The 22,420-nt window shown below is 39.6% G+C and overlaps 1 long non-coding RNA gene across 1 annotated transcript in view, besides 1 other annotated feature; it reads right to left on the bottom strand.

Moving 5' to 3' along the window:
* Window positions 1–12,099, bottom strand: part of LINC02661 (long intergenic non-protein coding RNA 2661) — a 132,148-nt gene extending 120,049 nt beyond the window's left edge. The window contains exons 1-2 of the long non-coding RNA NR_187538.1: window positions 12,060–12,099; window positions 10,103–10,170 (exon numbers count right to left, since the gene is read on the bottom strand). This is a non-coding gene — a long non-coding RNA (long intergenic non-protein coding RNA 2661). The remainder of the gene's footprint in view (window positions 1–10,102; window positions 10,171–12,059) is intronic.
* Window positions 19,078–19,247: an enhancer, noted in NCBI's record as "experimental_9735 CRE fragment used in MPRA reporter constructs". NCBI's record gives its function as "activates a minimal promoter by MPRAs in K562 erythroleukemia cells, with activity observed for both the introgressed and non-introgressed 10:110461234 variant alleles {active_cell/tissue: K562}" and the evidence as "EXISTENCE:reporter gene assay evidence [ECO:0000049][PMID:34662402]".

The raw sequence follows: 22,420 nt of genomic DNA, 5'->3' as shown, positions 1-22,420 counted from the left end.
TAGTGTGATCCTTTGGTAGTATCAAGACACTCTGGCTTTTTGTAGTGCCAGTGTTTTTGTGTTTATCTCTAAGGAGCTGTTGCTTCTTATTTTTGAATTTCCTATCATTTGGTTGGGATATTTTTAAAATTCTTTTTTCCCTTTATGGTATGAGTATGGTGTATTTTGTATATGATCACTTGGCTTTGTTTCTGGACACATTCAGTGGGGCAGTGCTGTGTTTGTGTTGCTTGGTTGTGGATAACTTCTGTGCAGTGACTTTCTTGGATGTTGCTTTTATAGCTATGCATTGGACAAATGAGTGGACACACTATTTTCTGTGGGTCTGAGGATGTGGAGGTCAGCAAGCTTGTCTTGTGGGCAAGCACTAAGCCTTTCTGGAAGGAGGTTTGTTATTTGGTGATGCATTTTAGACCGTAGTCCATAAGTGGAGCTTAAGAGTAATAGCTTGCTCATGCCCAGATAGGTCGATAATGGGTGGAAGCACCTGCCCTGACAGGGGGTGTTGGGAAGAGATCATGTGTGGTGTGCTCTTGTCTCAAGGGAAGGGGAAGAGTGAGTGCACCAGTTCTTCATCCTGAGCCAGCAGAAACCTGGTTCATTTCCCTATCACACCTGTGTCTCTGGGCTCATGACCTTCAGTTCATAAAGACTTGACCTCTTGTTTGCCAACCACAGTGCAGCTGTGGGCCACGAATACACTCCATCAAAGTGGGCTTGGGCAGAACCTTTTCCCTGAGTCCAGTACAGACAACTCTGTGATATTTCTTATCTCCATTGGTGAGATACTGTCACTCTGTGTAGGAAAGGGGACTTGGGTCCAGTCCTTCATGTGTGCCCAAGCAGCAAGGGCTCACTTTCAGCAAAAGTCATGCCACTGTGAAAAGTGCTTAAAATGCTTTCTCCAAGTGCACATGTGCAGACTTCCCAGTGGGAAGAACCACTAATGTGTCCACACCAGTTGACAGGGTATGGGGGGTGGGAGATGACACCCTCCCCACATCTATTCCCAGGTATCAGCGCTGCCATTTTCATCAATTTGTGCCACAGAAATGTGTCCTTTGTCCCAAAGGAGGTTTTGGTGGACTGTACTCCCCCTTTTTTCGGAGTGGTCCATGCTGAGGGTTAGATCTCCAGGGGATTCCACAGCTCTCCAGGGACCCATCATTAGCCTGTGCTTGCCAAAATCAGACCAGGTTGTGAGGTACATTTATGAAGAATCTGGTGGTGCAGTGATTCAAGAGCAGAGAATCCCCAGGCAGAGCAGTGGCCCACCACAGGGGAACAACAAGTATGGTTCCCAATGCCTCAGTTCAGGTGTGAAGGCAGTGCAGGCATGGAAACCTGGTTCTTTCCTCAGGAAACCCTAAATCTCCACTGACAGCATTGCCCTGGATCATGAGGACAGAGGGGCTCATTAACAGTTTGGTCACAAGGGTGAGGGAAGGAGAGAAGCACTCCCACCTATCCTTTCCACAGAACTTCAAGTTCCCCTGGGGTTGGTCTTTGCCAGAGTCTTGCTGCTTTTCTCTTGTGAACACCAGCTTCTCCCCATGGACACGATGAGAGGTCCTAGTTTTCTTCACTCAGTTTTCCATTCAGAACTTGTCCGTTAACCTGTAACTTTCATCTTTTTTCTTAGGAAATCTGGCGTCCAATGTCCTTAGTCAGCCATTTTGAAAAAATACTGCAATTTTTAGTTCTAAATTATCGATTTGGTTCTTTTTCATAACTTTTATTTCTCAGTTGAAATGTTTTATTTATTCATTTGTTTCAAGAGAATTGGTAAATGTACATTAAAAAATTTTTATAATAGCTGGATTTAAAATCTTTATCAGACAATTTCAACATCTAATTCACTTTAATGTTGGCATATCTATCCATGATCTTTTCTTATTCAAGTTGTGATTTTCCTGGTCCATAGTATGATAAGTTCTTTTTAAAACTGAACCCTATACATTTTTGATATTACAATATTCTGAATCTTGTATTCCCCCTGTTGATGTGTAGCATGAGGGCAAGGGGGCACGTATGTTTGGCTTTCTGCTGGATCCCCTCCTCCACCTGCTCCAACTGGAAAAAGTGGAGTGTTGCCCCTTTGCAAATAGATCAGCTAGAAATTCAGCTTCCACATCCCTTTTAAAAGTGGTGTACCAATATTAGTTCCCTACTGTGCCCTTCTGACACCACGAGGAGGGAAAACATATCTGAATCACATCACTTTATTGTTTTAAGTTGAGGCCTGCCGCTTAGCTCCACACTAGGCCTCACTGACATTAGGGGAAGAATGGGAATAAACAAAGTGCTAACCAACTTCATTTCCCAGGCCCTTGTTAAATGGGGATGGGAGTGGAGAGTCAGCTTGACCCTGGAATCCACTAATTCTACCCTGGAAGGATAATCAGAGTATGTTCTAGAGTATCTGGCTTCCACCAGATAAAGGATGATGATCCGCTCCCTACTGTGACCCAGTGACACTACTGGAGCATGAGATTTGGAGCATTCCTTCTCTAAATAAATAAAGAATTGATGGTCAACTCCCTATTCAGTCCTGCAGACATCACTAGGCAGAAGATTTGGAGCATCACTGCCTGCTTCTACAGGATGCTTCTCTAGTGGTAGGGTAGAAGGTCAGCTCCCAGTTGGCCCGAGTGAAACTGTGGGAGTGGTATGCGATTGGGATTTCTGTGGTGTTTGCCTGGAGTAGGTTGTGTATTGGGATTTTTTTTCCTCCTTAGGTTACCCATTTTCTGTTATTTTGGCTAAAGGAGACAGGCTTTTCTTGGATAATTTTTTTTTCCATGCCTGTTGGCCATTACAGGTTAAAGGCTTATGCAATATCCTGCCCAAGATATATGGGAGGAAGTAAGAAAACTGAGGATACTCATTACCATGTTGTTCAAGTACTGAGTACTTGAGGCAATCCATCTTCAATACTCTTCCAAAGCTTGTTTATTATGTTATGTCCAGAGTTTTTAGTTGGGCTAAATAAAAATGACCACTCCATCTTTGCCAGAATCAGAAATCCTCTGATAATCTGCTTTTAGAAGTCCAACCCAAATGTAAAAACACATTGCCAAGAACAAATCCTAGAAGCAATAATGCAGGCAAGTATATTAAGAAAAATTTACATTACTTAAAAAGATATGCTTTTTTAAGTCTCTCTGGGAACATTATTTTCATTCCAACAGTAAATATGGTAATGACAAATTTTCAGAATTAGTTCACTAAAGCATTCTCATTATGGAATTATTTTTGGTAGCATTTTATTACACAGATTGTGGTTATTGTGCCTTTTAAATGTATTTCATAATTCTTATTTTTCCAAAATTTAAATGTTTATTATTTTATTTAATAAACTAGTATGTCATTTGTTTTCAAAACCTGAGTTAATGAAGATTAAAATTCATGTTGAAGACTATTATTTTATTTAAATATGTATTTAAAGCTCATTATATATTTAAGTATATATTTAAACCTTACATATAAACATACATGCATACATATATGTGTGTGATATATATACACACAATGTATATTTATACACACATGTAAGACGTAAAAATATATATACACATATGTAATACATACACACATCATTTAGTGCCTAGAAGATCATTTACATCACATAAAAGTCAGCACTGTCATTTATCTGTTACTCTTTCTATATGGGTACATAATGTGTTTTGTGTAAATGATGCTGAGCCCCAGCTTAGCAAGATCTTTTTCCAAATGTGTATTTATCAAGGATGCACTTGTGCTGTGTTACAAGCGCTAATGTATGGACAAAGCTAATCATTAATTACAAATGCTGCTAATTATTATAGAAGTTTATAATCATATACAAGATGGAAGGAGCTTGCAATCTGGTATGATGAATTGAATTTACAAAATCCTTAATGATTCTGCAAAATCACAGCCAGAATCCTTGGGACACTCTGGAGCCTTAATTGTATAACACTATTGGCCCAATCTGGAGGAAGGAGGCAGGACTTTTATACCCACAAGTCAGCCAATATTTATCTGTGGCCTACTAATCTCTCAGTGATAGAGAATAAATATGCAGGCAAAGCAGCTTCTGGTTGAAAGCAGTTCTCAGAGGTAGGAGGCTCCTGTGGAGTATTAGCTGACAACACTCACAACAATTATGTGATGAATGCTCCTGTACATGTTTTATGGTTTGAATTGTGTCCCTTGTAAAATTCATATGCTGATGTGCTAACTCTAAGTACCTAAGAGTGTGACCTTTGGAGACAGTATCTTTACAGAGGAAGTCAAGGTGAGGTCATTAAAATGAACCACAAGCCAACATGACTGGTATACATAAAAAAGGAGAATTCAGACAGAGAGACACACACAGAAAAAAAAGACAAAATGAAGAGACCCGGTGAGAAGACAGACCTCTGCAAGCCAAGGAAGAGGCCTGAAACAGATCCTTTACTCACAGCCTTCAAAAGAAACCAACACTGCTTCAGCTTGATCTCTGACTTGTAGCCACTGGTCAACCTGTAGTATTATCATTACAGAGAACCCGCATGAGTCTCAGTCTGGGTGCTAAATACCACTTTTGTTTAATGCTTCCCTTTTGTATCTCAAACATCAAATCCTTTTTGTCCACACAAAACATCTTATGATGCTAACCAAGACAATAGATAACTATTGTCAAGGTTGTCAGTTCTCAGTTCATGGATGTGGTGTTGCCTCCTTTCCCTATTACCCCTCTACTAACCTACAAAGGCAGATGGGGTATGACATGGTTTGGGTTTTTGTCCTGACCCAAATATCTTGTCATATTGTAATCCCCAAGGTTGGAGGATGGGCCTGTTGGAAGGTGATTAGATTATGGGGGTGGATTCCTCCCTTGCTGTTCTCATGAGAGCGAGTGAGTTCTCATGATATCTGGTGGTTTAAAAGTGTGTGCCACCTCCCCCTATTCTCTATTCCTCCTGCTCTGCCATATAAGATGAGCCCTTTGCCTTCTATTATGATTGTAAGTTTCCTGGGGCCCCCCAGCCATGCTTCCTGTACAGCCTGAAAAACTAGGAGTCAATTAGACATATTTTCATTTTAAATGACCCAATCTCAGGTATCTTTATAGCAATGTGAGAATAAACTAAATTGGTACAGATAGTGGGGCATTGCTCTAAAGATACCTGAAAATGTAGATGCAGCTTTGGAACTGGATAATGGGCAGAGGTTTGAACAGTTTGGAGAGCTCAGAAGAAGAAAGGAGATGAGAGAAAGTTTGGAATTTCTTAGAGACTTGTTAATTTGTTGTAATTAAAGTGCTGATAGTGATATGCACAATGAAATCCATGCTAAGGTGGTTTTAGATGAAGATGAAGAACTTACTGGGAACTGGAGCAGAGGCCACTTTGTTATGCATTAGCAAAGAGGTTGGAGGCATTGTGCTTCCATGCTACAGATCTGTGGAACTTTGAACTTGAGAGAGATGATTTAGAGTATCTGAAGGAAGAAATTTCTAAGCAGCAATACAATCAAGATGTGGCCTGGGTGCTTCTAGCATCCTATGCTCAAATTTGTAAGTCAAAAATGATATAAAATTGAAACTTATTTTTAAAAGGGAAGCAGAGCATACAAGTTTGAAAAATGTGCAGCCTGGTCATATGGGAGAAAAGAAAACCCATTTTGTGGGGAGGAATTCTAGAAAGCTGCAGAAATTTGCACAAGTGATGAGGAGCCAAATGTTGACAACTAAGATAATGGGAAAAATGCCTTGAAGGCATTTCAGAGACCTTCGTGGCAGGCCCTTCCATCACAGGCCCAGAGAGCGAGGAGGGAAGAACAGTTTCATGGGCCAGGCCCAGGGCCCACTGCTCTGTGCAGCATCAGGACATGGCACCCTCTATCATGGCTGTTCCAGCTCCAGCAGTGGCTAAAAGGGACCAATGTATAGCTTGAGCTGTTGCTTCAGAGGGTGCAAGGCAAAAGCTTAGGTGGCTTCCACATAGTGTTAGGCCTGTGGGTAGAGAGAAGGCAAGAGTTGTAGCTTGGGATCTGTAGTAGTTTGTTTTCATACTGCTGGTAAAGACATACCCAAGACTGGGTAATTTTTAAAGAAAAAGATATTTAATGGACTCACAGTTCCATGTGGCTGGGGAGGCTTCACAATCATGGCAGAAGGTGAAAGCATGTCTTACATGACAGCAAACAAGAGAGAATGAGAGCCAAGTGAAAGAGGTTTCCCCTTGTAAAACCATCAGATCTCATGAGACTTATTCACTACCATGAGAACAGTGTGAGGGGAACCACCCCCATGATTCAATTATCTCCCACTGGGTCCCTCCTAAAACACATGGGAATTAAGAGAGCTGCAATTTAAGATGAGATTTGGGTGGGGACATAGCCAAACCATATCATTCTGCCTTTGGCCCCTCCCGAATCTCATGTCCTCATATTTCAAAACCAATCATTCCTTCAGCATTAACTCAAAAGTCTACAGTCCAAGGTCTCATCTGAGACAAGGCAAGTCCCTTCTCCCTGTGAGCCTGTAAAATCAAAAGCAAGTTAGTTATTTCCTAGACACAATGGTGGTACAGGCATTGGATAAATACACCCATTCCAAATGGGAGAAATTGGCCAAACCTGGGGCTAAAGGTTACATGCAACTCCAAAATCAAGAGCAGACAAATCTTAAAGCTCCCAAATGATCTCCTTTGACTCCATGTCTTACATCCAGATCACACTGATGTAAGAGATGGGTTCCAATGGACTTGGGCCTTTGGCCCTGTGTCTTTTCAGGGTACAGCCTCCTTCCCAGCTTCTTTCATGGGCTGGCATTGAGTGTCTGTGGCTTTTCCAGGCACACAGTGCAATCTGTCAGTGGATCTATGATTCTGGGGTTTATAGGATGGCGGCCTTCTTCTCACAGCTCCACTAGGCACTGTCCCAGTGGAGACTCTGTGTGGAGGCTCTGACCCCATATTTTCCTTCCACACTGCCTAGCAGAGGTTCTCCATGAGGGCCCTGCTCCTGCAGCAAACTTCTGCCTGGACATCCAGGCTTTTTCATACATCCTCTGAAGTCTAGGATGGGTTCTCAAACCTCAGTTCTTGACTTCTGTGTACCTGCAGGCTCAACAGCACATGGGAGCTGCCAAGGCTTGAGGCTAGCAACCTCTGAAGCCAAGCCTGAGTTGTACCTTGGCCTCTTTTAGCCATGGCTAGAGTGGCTGGAACTCAAGGAACGAAGTCCCTAGGCTGCACACAGCAGGGGGGCCCTGGGCCACGCCCATGAGACCATTTTTTCTCCTAGGCCTCCAGGCCTGTGATAGGAGGGCCTATGGCAATGGTCTCTGACATGCGCTGGAGACATCTTTCCTATTTTCTTGGTCATTAACATTTGGCTCCTTGTTATTTATGCAAATTTCTGCAGCTGGCTTGAATTTTTACTCAGGAAATTTTTTTTTCTTTTATAATTGCATTTTCAGGCTACAAATTTTTTGAAATTTTATGCTGTTTCCCTTTTATAACTGAATGCTTTTAACAGCACCCAAGTCACCTCTTGAATGCTTTGCTGCTTAGAATGTTCTTTTGCCAGATACCCTAAATCAACTCCCTCTAGTTCAAAGTTCCATAGATCTCTAGGGTGGGGCAAAATACCATCAGTCTCTTTGCATAGCAAGAGTCACCTTTACTTCAGTTCCCAACAAATTCCTCATCACCATCTGAGACCACCTCAACCTGGATTTCATTGTTCATATCATTATCAGCATTTCAGTCAAAGCCATTCAACAAGTTCCCAGCTTTCCCACATGTTCCCGTCTTCTTCTGAGCCCTCCAAACTGTTCCAACCTCTGCCTGTTACACAGATCCAAAGTCACTTCCACATTTTTGGGAATCTTTACAGCAGTGCCCCACTCTACTGGTACCAACTTACTCTATTAGCCCATTTTCACACTGCTGATGAAGACATACCTGAAACTGGGTAATTTATAAAGAAAAAGATTCAAGATGAGACTTAAGTGGGAGACACAGCCAAACCATATGAGGAGCCACTGACTAGATTTCAGTGGATGAATGTAAACAGCTGAATATCCAGGCAGAAGCTGCTGCAGGGGTGAAGCTGTCATGTAGAACCTCTACTAGGGCAGTGCAGAGGGGAAATGTGGGTTGGAGCCCCCACACAGAGCTCCCACTATTAGGCTGCCTAGTGGGGCTGTGAGAAGAAGGCCACTGTCCTCCAGACCCCAGAATGGTAGATACACTGACAACTTGCACCATGCACCTGGAAAAGCCACAGACACTCAATGCCAGCCTGTGAAAGCAGCCTCAGGGGCTGTACCCCGAAGAGCCACAGCAGCAGAGCTGTTCAAAGCCTTGGGAGCCCAACCCTTGTGTCACTGTGGCCTGTGTGAGACACGGACTTAAAGGAGATTATTTTGGAGCTTTATTTAATGACTGCCCTGCTGGATTTTGGAATTATATGGGCCCTGTAGCCCCTTTGTTTTGGCCAATTTCTCCCTTTTGGAAAGGGAGTATTTACCCCATGCCTCTAGCCCCATTGTATCTTGGAAGTAATGAAATTGTGTTTTTTTGTTTTTGTTTTTTTGTTTTTGAGACAGAGTCTTGCTCTGTTACAGGCTGGAGTGCAGTGGCACAATCTCAGCTCACTGCAATCTCTGCCTCCCAAGTTCAAGCGATTCTCCTGCCTCAGCCTTCCAAGTAGCTGGGAATACAGGTCCGTGCCACCACACCCAGCTAATTTTTGTGTGTGTGTGTTTTTACTAGAGATGGTGTTTCACCATGTTGGCCAGGATGGTCTCGAACTCCTGACCTAATGATCCATCTGTCTTGGCCTCCCAAAGTGCTGGGATTACAGGCATAAGCCACTGTGCCCGACCCTTGTTTTTTATTTTATAGGTTCACAGGGGAAACGGACTAGCTTTGTCTCAGGTGACATTTTGGACTTTTGAGTTAATGCTGGAATGAGTTAAAACTTTGGGGAACCGTTGAGAAAGAATGATTATATTTTGACATGTGAAAAAGACATGAGATTTGGAAGGGGCTCGGGACAGAAAGACATGGTTTGGAGTTGTGTCTCCACCCAAATATCATGTAGAATTATAATCCCCAATGTTGGAGCAGTGGCCTGGTGGCGGGTGATTAGATCATGGGGACAGATATCCCCCCCTTGCCGTTTTCATGATAGTGAGTGAGTTCTCACAAGATCTGTTTCTTTAAAAGGGTGTAGTATTTCCCCCTGATCTTTCTGCCTCCTACTCTGGCCATGTAAGACATGCCCTTTGCATTCCACCATGATTGTAAATTTCCTGAGGTTTCCTCAGCCATGCTTCATGTATATCCTGCAGAACTGTGAGTCAGTTAAACCTCTTTTCTTTATAAATTACCCAGTCTCAGGTAGTTCTTTATAGCAATGTGAGAACAGACTAATACAGGGTGGAAGGTGGTTAAAATTTGTGCTGGGAGGAACAAGTGGCTTGTTGGCATTGGACTAGTATTGCTTACCTGCTGAGAAGAAGCAGATAAGTTTCCAAGTTATTATTTGTACTACAATATTAAGTTTGTACATCACATAATGATGTTTTGTATGTATGCTTTTATTTTCTAGAAGTAAATAAAGTCATAATGAAAACATAATGCTATCTATGGGAAATATTATGTGTGAACAGGGCTAATATAGCTCTAAGACCTACATATGGATTGTTCTACAACAGATGATGTCTGCCTCTAGGCCAGGCAGAGAATTGGGTGGTAACAGATAAGGGAATTGTATCTCTAGGCACAGAGGCTAGAACATTACCTCAAATGGAAGATTTTCTCTGAGGTTTGAGAATGTGCCAGGTATGTGAAGAGAATATTCAACATAAATAATTGCCCAATTTGCATATATATTTTCATGAGGAGAAAAATATAATTTAGAAAGTCAACTTAGGAAACAAATAATTCAATCTATTTAACAGATATATTTAGTAGGCAAAACACTTATTTAGTTAAGGTGGAGAGAATGATTTAAATGCAATGTATTTATCCTATTGACATATTTTTCCAGTTCTATTCTCAAATAATCCACAAGACAGGGAGGTTGGGCTTGATTTATCTGTTAGGGGTTTTGTACAGACCTGTCATGGACTCTGAGAGCAGGTGACTCAACATCGTGCTTTGTGGACTGTGCAGGAAACACAGGATCCTGAAGGTGGACAGAAAAAAATCTCTAGTTTTTATTTGCAATTAGTATTTATCTACTCCAATAATCAGTCTGCTTTGGAAATATTCCCTGTGCCTTCCTTAAAGATTAACTGCTTTTTAAAAAGCTATTGTAAACAGTTAACATTTTTGTCCTCTATAATGTCATTTACCTGAGACTTCATTTCAGGTGGTGTCTCAGGGGACCATCGTAAATATTTGAAGTTATCCATGACTAAATTTATGTTGGCGCCGTTACTACCTGAAGCACTAAAATGAAAGAAAGTTCAGTAAGCATTTTACTCAGAGAATTATTCTGACAACCTTTCAAAGCATTTAATGTTGTGTTGACAGTTGATGGATCTGGTTATCCTTGGACAGAGAAATAAATTCACACAGCATGTTATACATCAATATTAATGGTCTGGTTAAACGTCTACAGCAGTTGCAGAAATAGGCTCTTTCATGATGTTTTCAAGACATCTTAAGCCTGTTTGAAGTCTTGGTAATTTTTTATGCTTCATGATATCATTATCTTTATCATCATCATCAAAATAATAAATATGAAAATACGTATTGATACATACCAGACTCTGGCCTAAGGACTTTAAATACATTATTTAATTATCTACAACATACATTTAGGCATGTACACACACACACACACACACACAACATGAAATAGGTATTTTTATCGTCACTATTTTACAGGCAAAGCATAGAAAGACTAAGTAACTTGTCCCAGGCAACTAATAAGAGCAGAGTCAGGATTTTGTGTCTTTTTGAATCAGTCTCAGGGTTTATGTATGGGCCACATCACATCTTATCTGAAAGACTACCTGAAATCTTTAAAGCAAAGGTCTTGGAACCTGTCCCAACCATCAATTAACTTTTTCCTTTGTCCTTGAGACATACTTGTATTACAGAGGGTAGGACTAACCTTTTCTTTTCTTTTCTTTTTTTTTTTTTTTTCGAGACAGAGTCTCGCTCTGTCACCCAGGCTGGAGTGCAATGATACAATCTCGGCTCACTGCAACCTCTGCCTTCCCAGGTTCAAGCAATTCTTCCTGCCTCAGCCTCCCAAGTAGCTGAGATTACAGGTGCCCACCATCATGCCCAGCTAATTTTTGTATTTTTAGTAGAGACGGGGTTTTGCCATGTTGGCCAGTCTTGTCTCAAACTCCTGACCTCAGGTGATCCGCCCGCCTCGGCCTCCCAAAGTGCTGGGATTATAGGCGTGAGCCACTGTGCCTGGCCAGGATTAACCTTTTAATACCTAAATTCTTAGTGTTTCTTCTTTGCCAAAGAATGTAATTACAAGGGATGTGAAAGTATTTGTTCTATACTTATTATATGCCAGGTTTTGACATCGCTTATTTTATGCTCAAAGCAATCACGAAATGTTATTTTATTAATTTTGGATATGGTGTAACTGAAGCTCAGAAAAGTGAAGTAACTTCCCCAAGGCCATAGTAAAATTGCAAAGATCGGACAGAAACCCAAGTGTCCTGGGCTAACCACTAAGCAATCCTATCTCTAACACAGTTGTTAACAGTCATTCACTTCTTGGTGTCAAGACTTGAGACAAGGCTGAGATACAGAAAATGAGGGGAAACAGAATATTAAAAGCTTAGCAGGACAGAAGTGGGGCTAAGGCACAAGGGATTTGTGAGGTATATGAAGAAAGGTAGCAGGCACATGGGTTGGTGGGCAGGGAAGTGAAACCAAGAGTGAGGGGTAGGGACTGTGCAGGCTCTGCTGTGTATTTGTCTCAGGCTGGCTCCAGGAATGAAACGAGGAGGGAAAAAATAATATGTGCAGTGCTGCTTATTCCAGATAAAGACTATTGCTCCTGTTCCTCCCTCTCTATTTAATAGCTTAAGTAAGACCCACCCTTATATGGAAATCTCCCAGCATACCTCCGCTGTTGCCTAGGGGATTGGCGAGAATGATGATAGAAAGATTCTGTTCTGGTGGGAGAGGGTGAAGTCACAATGCAGTATTTTATTTTTCTCCATGTTTCTGTTGTTATTGTCACGGCTGATAAACCCATAAATACAATTTGCTATTTCAACTATGTATATATTATATACTATAATTAAAAAATAAGAAAACCCTGGATAAATAAAATCATAGACAAATAATGTAGCCAGAAATAATAATAATAATTTAAAAAAGGTAGCTGTTCAGTAAGAACATCCCATTTCTAAAATGAGTGTGGGAGAGGGAACTTCAGATGAGAAAATTTGGATCAGGACTGGGGGTCTCATAGAGCACTGGCCACTCTGAGATTTGGCTCCTGACAATTGGTTTTAAACACATGGCTGTCGAGCTGGTATTGAACCCTTGAAGAAAAATATAATGCTCAGGATGGTTCCTACCCAATGTATTTCTTTTCAGACTTTGCCCCACTTCAGTGACATAAGTACCATCTTGGAAAGGGCGTCAATTTTACATAATGTGGAATAAAATCTAATTTGCAAAATAAATTTGCCTTAATCAAAGAGATTCAAAATTAAAAATAGATGGCGTTACAATTTATCTGGTCTCTAACTGATTCCAACCAAGTCAACTTAATCAAATCTGAAATTAGTGATTCATTAATCCCATCTACTTCTTGAAAAGTAAACAATGCTGGCTTTCTTAAAATGGGTATTGGTTAATTGCATAAGAAAAGCAGGCTCACTTGAGAATGTTTTGTCAGGCCCATGCTCCATCCAATGCAGTGTGTGTATATATATATTCTGAGGATGAAGTATATGCAGTCATTTCTGTGATAATATTATATTTTAAAAACATGAATTTCTTCTAATAACTGATATACTAGGGACTGATTTGAGCACAACACAAATTTTGTGTTTGCCTATGCATATTTTTGTTCATGTGAAATACTACGTGAACTTAGAAAGCTTCACCAAGCTGAACAGACTCTGTAGAAATATACAAAACAAGCATACATGCATACACCTCCAACACCTATAAGCTACCTCAGTTCACTGCAGGTGTGTTTTGAGCCACATTCATGCACATCTGGTGTAATAACTTTCTGTCTGATTTCAGACAACACTCCTTCTACTACTTTACTCACAAGCTACACCCTTCAAGTGACTGCTTCCACAAGCAAACTTCAGCTCTCTTAAAGTGTCACATTTATTAAGGATTATGTATTTCTTAACTATTTTATATATGCAAAACTGTGCTACTATCCTTTTTGAATGCTCCTATCTTTCCCACCCCCACCCCCCAACCACTAATGAAGTTTTTGAGTGTCAGGCCACTAATCCCATTTTCCCCCGTAATTCTTATTGCTTTTATGACCTTTTTTTTTTTTCTTGAGATGGAGTCTTGCTCTGTCACCCAGGCTGGAGTGCAGTGGTGAGTAAGGATATTCAGTCCCACATTATTTAATTTCTGAAACCATTAGAATAGCTTCAGAAGTTCAACAACAGGAAAATGGTGAAGTAAGCCACAGTTTATTCATTAGAAGAAATAACAAGCAGCCATTTAATGGCTAGACAGACTATATAGCAGAGTGAAACATGGTTATACTAGGCCAAGTGAAAAAAGGTAAAAAATTAAACACTGAAAGTGACTTTTAAGAACACTTACAGGGACAAGGAAATATTTGAAAAAAAAAACGCGCTGAAAAAAAACTAGTTTAAGGCCAGTGAATGCTATTATGAACATGTGTAATACACATTAGAGAGATGGGGAGCATGAGTGGTGTTAGCCAACTGTGGAAAACTGCTGTGTGATGTTCAGGTAATGAATGTAATAAACCACTCCAGGAAGACCATCTGTATGTTGTTCGCTATTCTGATTCAAGCCAGACAGATGCTCATATAGAAGGTTCACACCCCTACCACAAATCCTCTCTGACAAATCATAATCATGTTACATAAACAACAAACCCAGAATCATTGGGAAGCAGGCAGAAGATGGAGCAAGCATAGTATTAGAAGTGGACATGGTCTGGAAATAGAGCTAAATTGTTTTGAAGGTAATCTTGTACCCGTGCTTGAGAAATAAACTCAGTACCTTCACTACCAGTACCACGAAAGGCGTTTTGAAAGAGCTATGTTTAAAAATATGATAATACATATTTGTTGAGAGAAAGTGGGGCCAGGACCTATATTGCTTCTATGCAAGGCTACATTTTCTGCATTTTCTGCTTATTTTCATAATTACCCTGTGAACTAGCTGTATGTCTTTTTGTATAGATGGGAAACATGAGTCTCAGAGAAGTTAAGTGACTTGCCTAAAGACATAGTTAATATGTGATTGGCCAAGATTCAAACTCCATTCTTTCTCCATAATTCTTGTCCTGCCCATGGAACTAAGCTAAAAATGGAAGAATGGAACTAAGGGGACAAGTTATTCACTTATGTACATACATTTCCATGTCCCTGTCAAGGTTTAGTTTCTTGTCTGTCACTCTGTCTTGATCTCTTGTCCTTGTTTTATTTCTATTTCTGCCATCTTGCCATATGTAAATATCTTGCCATTTACTTATCTTTCTGCAAATAGGCAGATTGATATGGACCAATTTGGGAAAACTATGTTAGACCATTCACAATCATTTGTGCCCTTGAAAAAAATCTTGAAAAAAATTCTTGGGAAAATAAGTTGATTTACCCTCTGAAGGATTTGAAAAATAGTTCTTAAGGTTGGCTTTTCTTACACTATCTGTCAACATGGAGCACCATCATATATATGATTAGGAGTAAAAAAGATTAGTTTCCCAGCACTTTGGGAGGCTAAGGCAGGAAGATCACAAGGTCAAGAGATGGAGACCATCCTGGCCAACATGGTGAAACCCCTTCTCTACTAAAAATACAAACATTAATTGGGCATGGTGGTGGGCACCTATAGTCCCGGCTGTTGGAAAGTTTGAGGCAGGAGAATTGCTTGAACCCAGGAGGCAGAAGTTGCAGTGAGCCAGATCGCGCCACTGCACCACTGCACTCCAGCCTGGGCAACAGAGTGAGATTCTGTCTCAAAAAAAAAAAAAATAAAAATAAAAAGATTAGCTCAGCAGAAGGAAAGCTAGTGATTCGTGATAGTATATCAGATTTGTATCGTGAGGGTATGATACATGTATTAGCCCTGTGAAACAATCTCTTCTCTTGCACTTATTTGGTGCCAGTCAAAACAGTATTGGAAATTGAGCCTCTTTACTGACCAAGTTTGCAGTGAATCACTGCCTTCTACCTTATACTAACAGTAAGCCGAAGTGATTTAGTTTTCTCTTTATCCTTAAAAGAAATGCAATTTAGAAAGATAACTGAGATGACAATAACATTATTGGAGATAATGAATTCACTTATAAGGTTTCAAAGGAGAACCAGTTAACTGTAGTCTTGAATGTTTTGTTTATAACTTCATATGATGCTGAAATGTAACAAATTATGCTTTGGTATATATGTTGTTAGGAAAGTTAAAAATGCTACCTGGATGTTATTTTAGTAAAGATATGAAAGTGGTTCAAGCTGATCTCCACAGATATAATTTCATTTTCATTTTATGGTTGGATGATTTGAATAACATTCAACAAATTTCAATTTAAGGAAAAATACTCAGCTTATCATTAAGCAGGGCTTTCAAAACGTTGCAAATAAATATGAAACCCAGTTAATGTCTACAGAAGAAAAGAACGTACAGTAAAGTGATACATTGAGTGAGAGGAGAACATTCAGTATATTATTGTATTAGGAACATGGTTAGACTGTATTGTGAAAGTTAATTTAATTACCTAATATTTTTGATTAACTATAGAAGTAGAAACTAATTGGGTTCCTGCTGTGAAATGTATGAAATTAATATACAAGTGAGGACACACAAAGCCCCTTTTAATAATGACCATTTATAACTTTAAGCAGGCTATCTCCCTGATAAAAATGATTTACCTTGTATTTGCTCATTCTCTTTTTCTGTTGCAGACTTTAGTCATTGGCACCTGGCTGTGACAAACATTCTTAATTCATGTGTCATGAGCGTTTTGCTTTAGGATGCTGATGCTGACTTTTCTCTGTGGTGCAAATGTTGCTATGAAGTCTAGTAAATGTTCAATTGCACTTTTAGTACTATTCTCATTTGACTGTCCTTCCATCTATGGTCAGAGTTGCTATTTTAGGGCCTGCCATTACAGCTTACTTGACATTTGAATTTCTAGTTGGCCCAAAACACTTGTTCAATCTCAGCAGCTCTACCTCTTTTCAAATCCTGCAGAATAGATGGGCCTATTTCTCTTGCCCTCACATCATGTCCAACTAGGCACACTACTAAGTTCACATGTAAACATCAGAGTAATCTTTAAGGTATTGGTCTGCATTTGTGCAAACCCCTCTGGATGTGATTTAAAAGCTAAACTCTGCCATACGATAGGGTGGTTTATGACAGCTTGGAGATGGGAGGTGGTCTGAGATGATGCCTCAAATCATTGAATAGTGATTCACGTGGCATTTAAACAAATCATCTCAAACTCATTATATTCTACCATAAAATTGTTCATCTGAAGTTGATAGATTCAGAGAAAACCAGCTTCTATTAGGTTGGTGCAAAAATAATTGCAGTTTTTGCCAGGTAAAAATAATGACAAAAACTGCAATTACTTTTGCACCAACCTAATAGTAGGGGTCAGTGACTCATTTTGCTTCAGAGGATTACTGCACTTAATCAAAATTCGTTTCCATGGGCCTTCCTGGCTAGAGTGACAGTTGCGGAAAATTGTATTTCTTTATTGATTTTTTTTCTCTTTCCTTCACCTTAGTCTCTTCCTCTTCTTATTGGCTGTGCTTATGAAAGGTCTTCATTTCATATGTCATGTCATGTATTCCTTCCATGTTCCTGCTTTGAATCCTATGTTTTTGCTATTTTGAATTAAAATGGCTGGTTTTAAAAGGCTATCTCCACGTGGAATTTTTAACTGCTGCAGCTCACTCTCAGCCCAAAATCCTACAGCCTCCTCTGATTCATGGAGCTTTCCAGGGAGCTCCTCAAAACACCTCCTTCTTAGGATTCATCATCTCATTAGTGACATCACCATCTCCTTGGCTATTCAGGCCAGAGACCTTCTGCTATGGCTTGAATGTTTTTGTCATCTCCAAAATTCATGCTCAAACCTAGTTCCCAGTTCAATAGTACCATGAGGCATGGCCTTTGAATGGTGTGGCTCTGCCTTCGTGAATGAGATTAGGCAACTTTATAAAAGGGCTAGATGGAGGAAGTTCATCCCTTTTGCCCTTCTGCTTTCTTCCATGTGAGGACACAGAATGGGTCCCCTTTTCCCTTTTTGCCTTCTACTGTGTAAAGACATGGCATTCCTTTTGTCTGGATGACTCAGCTTTCAAGGTGTCATCTTGGAAGCAGAGTATTCCTCACCAACAGAATCTGATGGTGCCTTGATCTTGGACTTCCCAGCCTCCAGAATTATGAGAAAATAAATTTGTAGGTTTAAAAAAATAAATTTTTGTTCTTTATAAGTGTGTCTTAGACATTCTGTCATAATAGTATAAAATCAACTAAGAAACCCTCTTTTCTCCTCCTTCTTTCTAAATTAATCACTGACTCCTGTTGATCATACATTTATTTATTTTCACAATATGTCACTCTGCCTACACCTCCACCTCCTACGTACATCAGCACACACATGCATACTCACACATTAAAAGATTTGTCACCTGCTATATTTCTTGGCTGGATACTACAACAGCTTTCAACCTTCTTTCTCTGCCTTCAGCCTTACTGGAGCCAGTGTTACCAGCTGTAAACACAACAGACCACTCCTGATGTAATATGTCTGCTGAGGACTGGGAAGAAAACGCCATAGGCCTCTATCCATGCTCTATGATCCAAGGGCTTTGGCTGGGGAAGGGGTGAGTTGAAAGTCAGGGTTGAGTCTAAGCTGTGAGTTTGCTAAGACCTCCAGACGTATTTTCTGCCTTCAGAAATCAAGATTGTGGCTATACCAGAGCATTAACTTCCTCAAAGTAGAGGCAAATCCTGGGTTGTCAGAATAGTACTTACTAGTGTCATGTTAATGCTGGGTGAGAATGAAAGCAGAGATTGTATATTCGTTTAGCTAGAGAAGAGGCAGAAAAAAGAAAATGCCTGAAAAAGGCAAGTCATTCAACCTGGGGCCATCTGAGGGCTATTAGGAAACTCTTTTAAAATTATTTTCATCACCTACTTATCCTTGGTGACTGAAATTCCACATAAAGATTTATTCTTCTGGCCTAATGTACTGATTTCTCTCTCTCTCTCTCTCTCTCTCTCTCTCTCTCTCTCTCTCTATCTATCTATATCTATATGTATATATATATATATAGAGAGAGAGATATCTCTATTTATCTATCTATATATATGCCTTTCTCATATATATACACACACACATATATATATATATGCCTTTCTCTCTCTCTCTCTCTCTCTCTCTCTCTCTCTCTCTATATATATATATATATATATATATTCCCTGAGAAAGGCGATATATTTTGTGAAGTTATTCCTTAACTTTTTATCTTTCCTTCCTATCTTCCCACTGGCCTTTTTTTTTTCTCTCTCTCTCTCTCGCTTTTTTTTTTTTTCTTAAATTCACTAACAATTGAGCACCCACTCTGTGTTACATAGCCGTGAAGAAGTTAAATAGCAGACCATTCAAGTGGAAACTCGAAGTGGATCACTTTGGGTGTCCACTTGGCATTAAAGACTGATGTCCAGAGGTGCAAAGGGGCTGATTGAGGATTAGAGGCACATTAGTATCTGATTTCAGGGTTTCTACGTCCAGTTCTGCATTTTGATGTTATTGCTCTTAATTCTCCCACTATGAACCACCTTAGTTTAGCTCACTAAACTAAGTTTATTTTCAATATTTGCCCTATCTTTGTTTCATATATCTATATTTAACAATATATCTGTATACATCTATATATTTCTTATCTGCTACATATAGATAATAACTGTAAAAATAAATACAATAAATACAGTGAAAATAAAATAATGTTATCAAACCTAACTTGACATAATAGCTCCAAACTGAGACTTTGCCTTTATTAAAACAAAATAATTAAAATAATTGTAAAGGACAAACTTTCTTCATTTAGGTGATTCAGTTCACAGCAATGGCTTTTAACCTTTATTACCCATTATCATCACCTGAGGAAGCTTTTAAAAATTGACTTATGCGTAGGGTTCCAGAAAGTCTTATTAAATTGGGAGAATAATCCTGGCATTAATCATCTACAAAATTTCTCAATTAATGATAATTTGCACAGTCAGGCTGGGGCACTGCTAGCTCAGGAGCAAAGACCCCAGATTCTAGGATCAGACTGCCTAGGTTCAAATCCTGCTTTATCACTGTGTGACCTTGGTCTTTTACTTTGCTAAGCTTCAACTTTCTTATCTGTAAAATAGAAATGAATATGTATCCATGTCATAAGGCTGTATGAGAATTAGTTGAGTTAATAAACAGAAAACACAGAACAAAGTCTTGTATATGATAAATGTTAAATGGGTGTTTAGTTTCATTGTTATTTTTATCAATGTTTGGGTTCTTGCAGCATTTGAGGTTATCTTGAATGCACAGAAAGACATAATTTCCAGACTTTGCAGCAACAATCCTTTGCTAATGAATTTTCCCCAAAGTAGTAAAAATACACAGTAAGTACTTTGTGACAGGGTGATGGGAGGCTTACAGGAACCATGCCTGTATGTTCTCCACAACCAGCTATCATGTTAGAGTCCAGTCAGCATAAAGGTACCAGACTCTGGAACTACAAGAGATAAGTCGTACCAGGTTGATGGGAGATGGGAATAGAAAGAGTAAAAGGTGAGAGTGAAAGAAAAACACGCCTTCAGTTTTCTTCTACTAAAAGCTAAAGATAAAGAAAATAAAACAACACAAAACAAAACAAGAAGAAGGTGGCTACTACCACTGTGTGAATGCAACGGCTCCTTTTCTTCCTCCCTCCCTTCATTGTTTCTTTCTTTCTTCTCATTTCTCCTCCCTTCCCTTCTGCTTTTCCCTCCCTTGCCAACCCTCCTCCTCCCTCTCCCTCTCTGTCCCTTGCCTACCCTCTTCCTCCCTTCTCCTCCTCCTCCTTCTCCTCTTCCTCCTTCTCCTTCTCCTCTTCCTCCTTCTCCTTCTCCTCTTCCTCTCTCTGTTTCTCTAAAGAGAATAAACTTTCTTTATCTGGGTCACACGCCAGGGAGTTGATCCTGAGACACAAGAAAAAGTGAGAAGCACAGAATGAGCTCTGTCTGTCACTGAACTTGGTCTTGCAGATCCACACTCTAATACTCATTGAGGTTCCTCAGGTCCTCATGCTGAGCATGAAAGGTTATCAAGTACTCAGTTCTGACCATTTGAAAGAGGTCAAAGTCAGTATTTGGAGAGACATAGTAGTTTGTTGTGACACTTTCTCCAAGGTAGATTCTTAAGACTGTCTCAAGATGTATTATACAGAGAAAGGAGCGTTAGCCATAAAAAAGAATGAGTTCATGTCCTTTGCGGGGACATGGATGAAGCTGGAAACCTTCATTCTCAGCAAACTAACACAGGAACAGAAAAACAAACACTGCATCTTCTCATTCATAAGTGGGAGTTGAACAATGAGAATGCATGAACACAGAGAGGGTAACATCACACACAGGTGCCTGTTGGAGGGTGGGGGTGCTAGGCAAGGGATAGCATTAGGAGAAATACCTAATGTAGATGGGTTGATGGGTGCAGCAAACAACCATGGCACATGTATACCTGTGTAACAAACCTGCACATTCTGCACATGTATCCCAGAACTTAAAGTATAATAAAAAATTTAAAAATTAAAGAAAAAATGGAGGCCATAGTTTGGATATACCCCAAGGCCAACTGCTCTAAACCAGGTAACCAAAACATAAGTCATTCTGATTTCACTGGAATGCCAGCTCTAATCATAAATGAAATAAAAAAAGGAAGTTATAAGTTCTTATAAGCATGATTCAGTGAAATTAAGACAGTCAGCTATAGACAGAGCAGCTTAAACAGTCGGCTTACCTAAAAAAGAATGCTTAATGGACTTGGTGCATTGGCTCATGCCTGTAATCCCAGCACTTTGGGAGGCCAAAATGGGAGGATCACTTGAGCCCAGGAGTTCACAACTAGCCTGGGCAACACAGTGAGACTCCATGTCAATCAACAAAATTAGCCAGGCATGGTGATTGGTGCTCTAGTCCCATCTACTCTGGAGCCTGAGGTGAGAGAATTCTTTGAACCTGGGAAGTTGAGACTGCAGTGAGCTATGATCTTGCTCTTGCATGCTACATGCTAGCCTGGGTGACAGAATGAGACTCTATCTCAAAAAAAAAAAAAAAAGAATGCTAATATGTAACACACAATGCTAATGTATTTTTTAAAAAGGTCAAAATACATTCTCCCTTATTCGCTGTGATCTGTAACTGCGTAACTGCTGTTAGCAGGCTTCTTACCACTTTTCAGTTCGTAGTTTTTCAGTTCTCAAACTGTTCTTTTATATGTGCAATAAACTAAACGTCTTTAATTTGGCCTGATTTGACTTTTGATAGAAAAAATTACTTTTCAAATTGATATACTACTTTAATGTATAAGATACCACAGCACATGTATGTAATATCTCCCATTCTGGGACCCTGTGAATTGGTTCTTATCTAATTATTATTTTTTAAGGTATTTATTAAGATATAATTCACATACTATAAAATTCATCCCTTTAAAGTGCACAATTCAGTGATTTTAATATATTCACTGAGTTGTGCAACCATCACCAATAATTTTAGAACATTCTCATCACCCAACAGAAAACCCCTGTACCATTTGCAGTCACGTTCCATCCCCCAGTCTGAAGCAACCAATCAGGCATCCTCTGTCTTTACAAATTTTCCTATTCTGGACATTTCATACAAATAGAATCAAATAATATGTCGTCTTTGGTATCTGGACTTTTTATTTATCATGATGTTTTCAAAGTTCATCCATGTCGTAGCATTTATCAGCATTTCATTATTTTCAAATGGCCAAATAATCCTCTGTCATATGAATATACCGTTTTGTTTATCCAGTCATCAGTTGATAAACATTTGGGTTGTTTCTACTTTTTGGTTATTATGAATAGTGCTGTTATAAATATTCCTGTACAAGTTTTTGTGTGGACATATGTTTTCATTACTCTTTTTTTAATTTTTATTTTATTATTATACTTTAAGTTTTAGGGTACATATGCACAAATGCAGGTTTGTTACAT

This window comes from Homo sapiens, chromosome 10, assembly GCF_000001405.40.
Source record: "Homo sapiens chromosome 10, GRCh38.p14 Primary Assembly".
NCBI classification, from domain to species: domain Eukaryota; kingdom Metazoa; phylum Chordata; class Mammalia; order Primates; family Hominidae; genus Homo; species Homo sapiens.
This window is presented reverse-complemented; position numbering and strand designations above follow the sequence as displayed.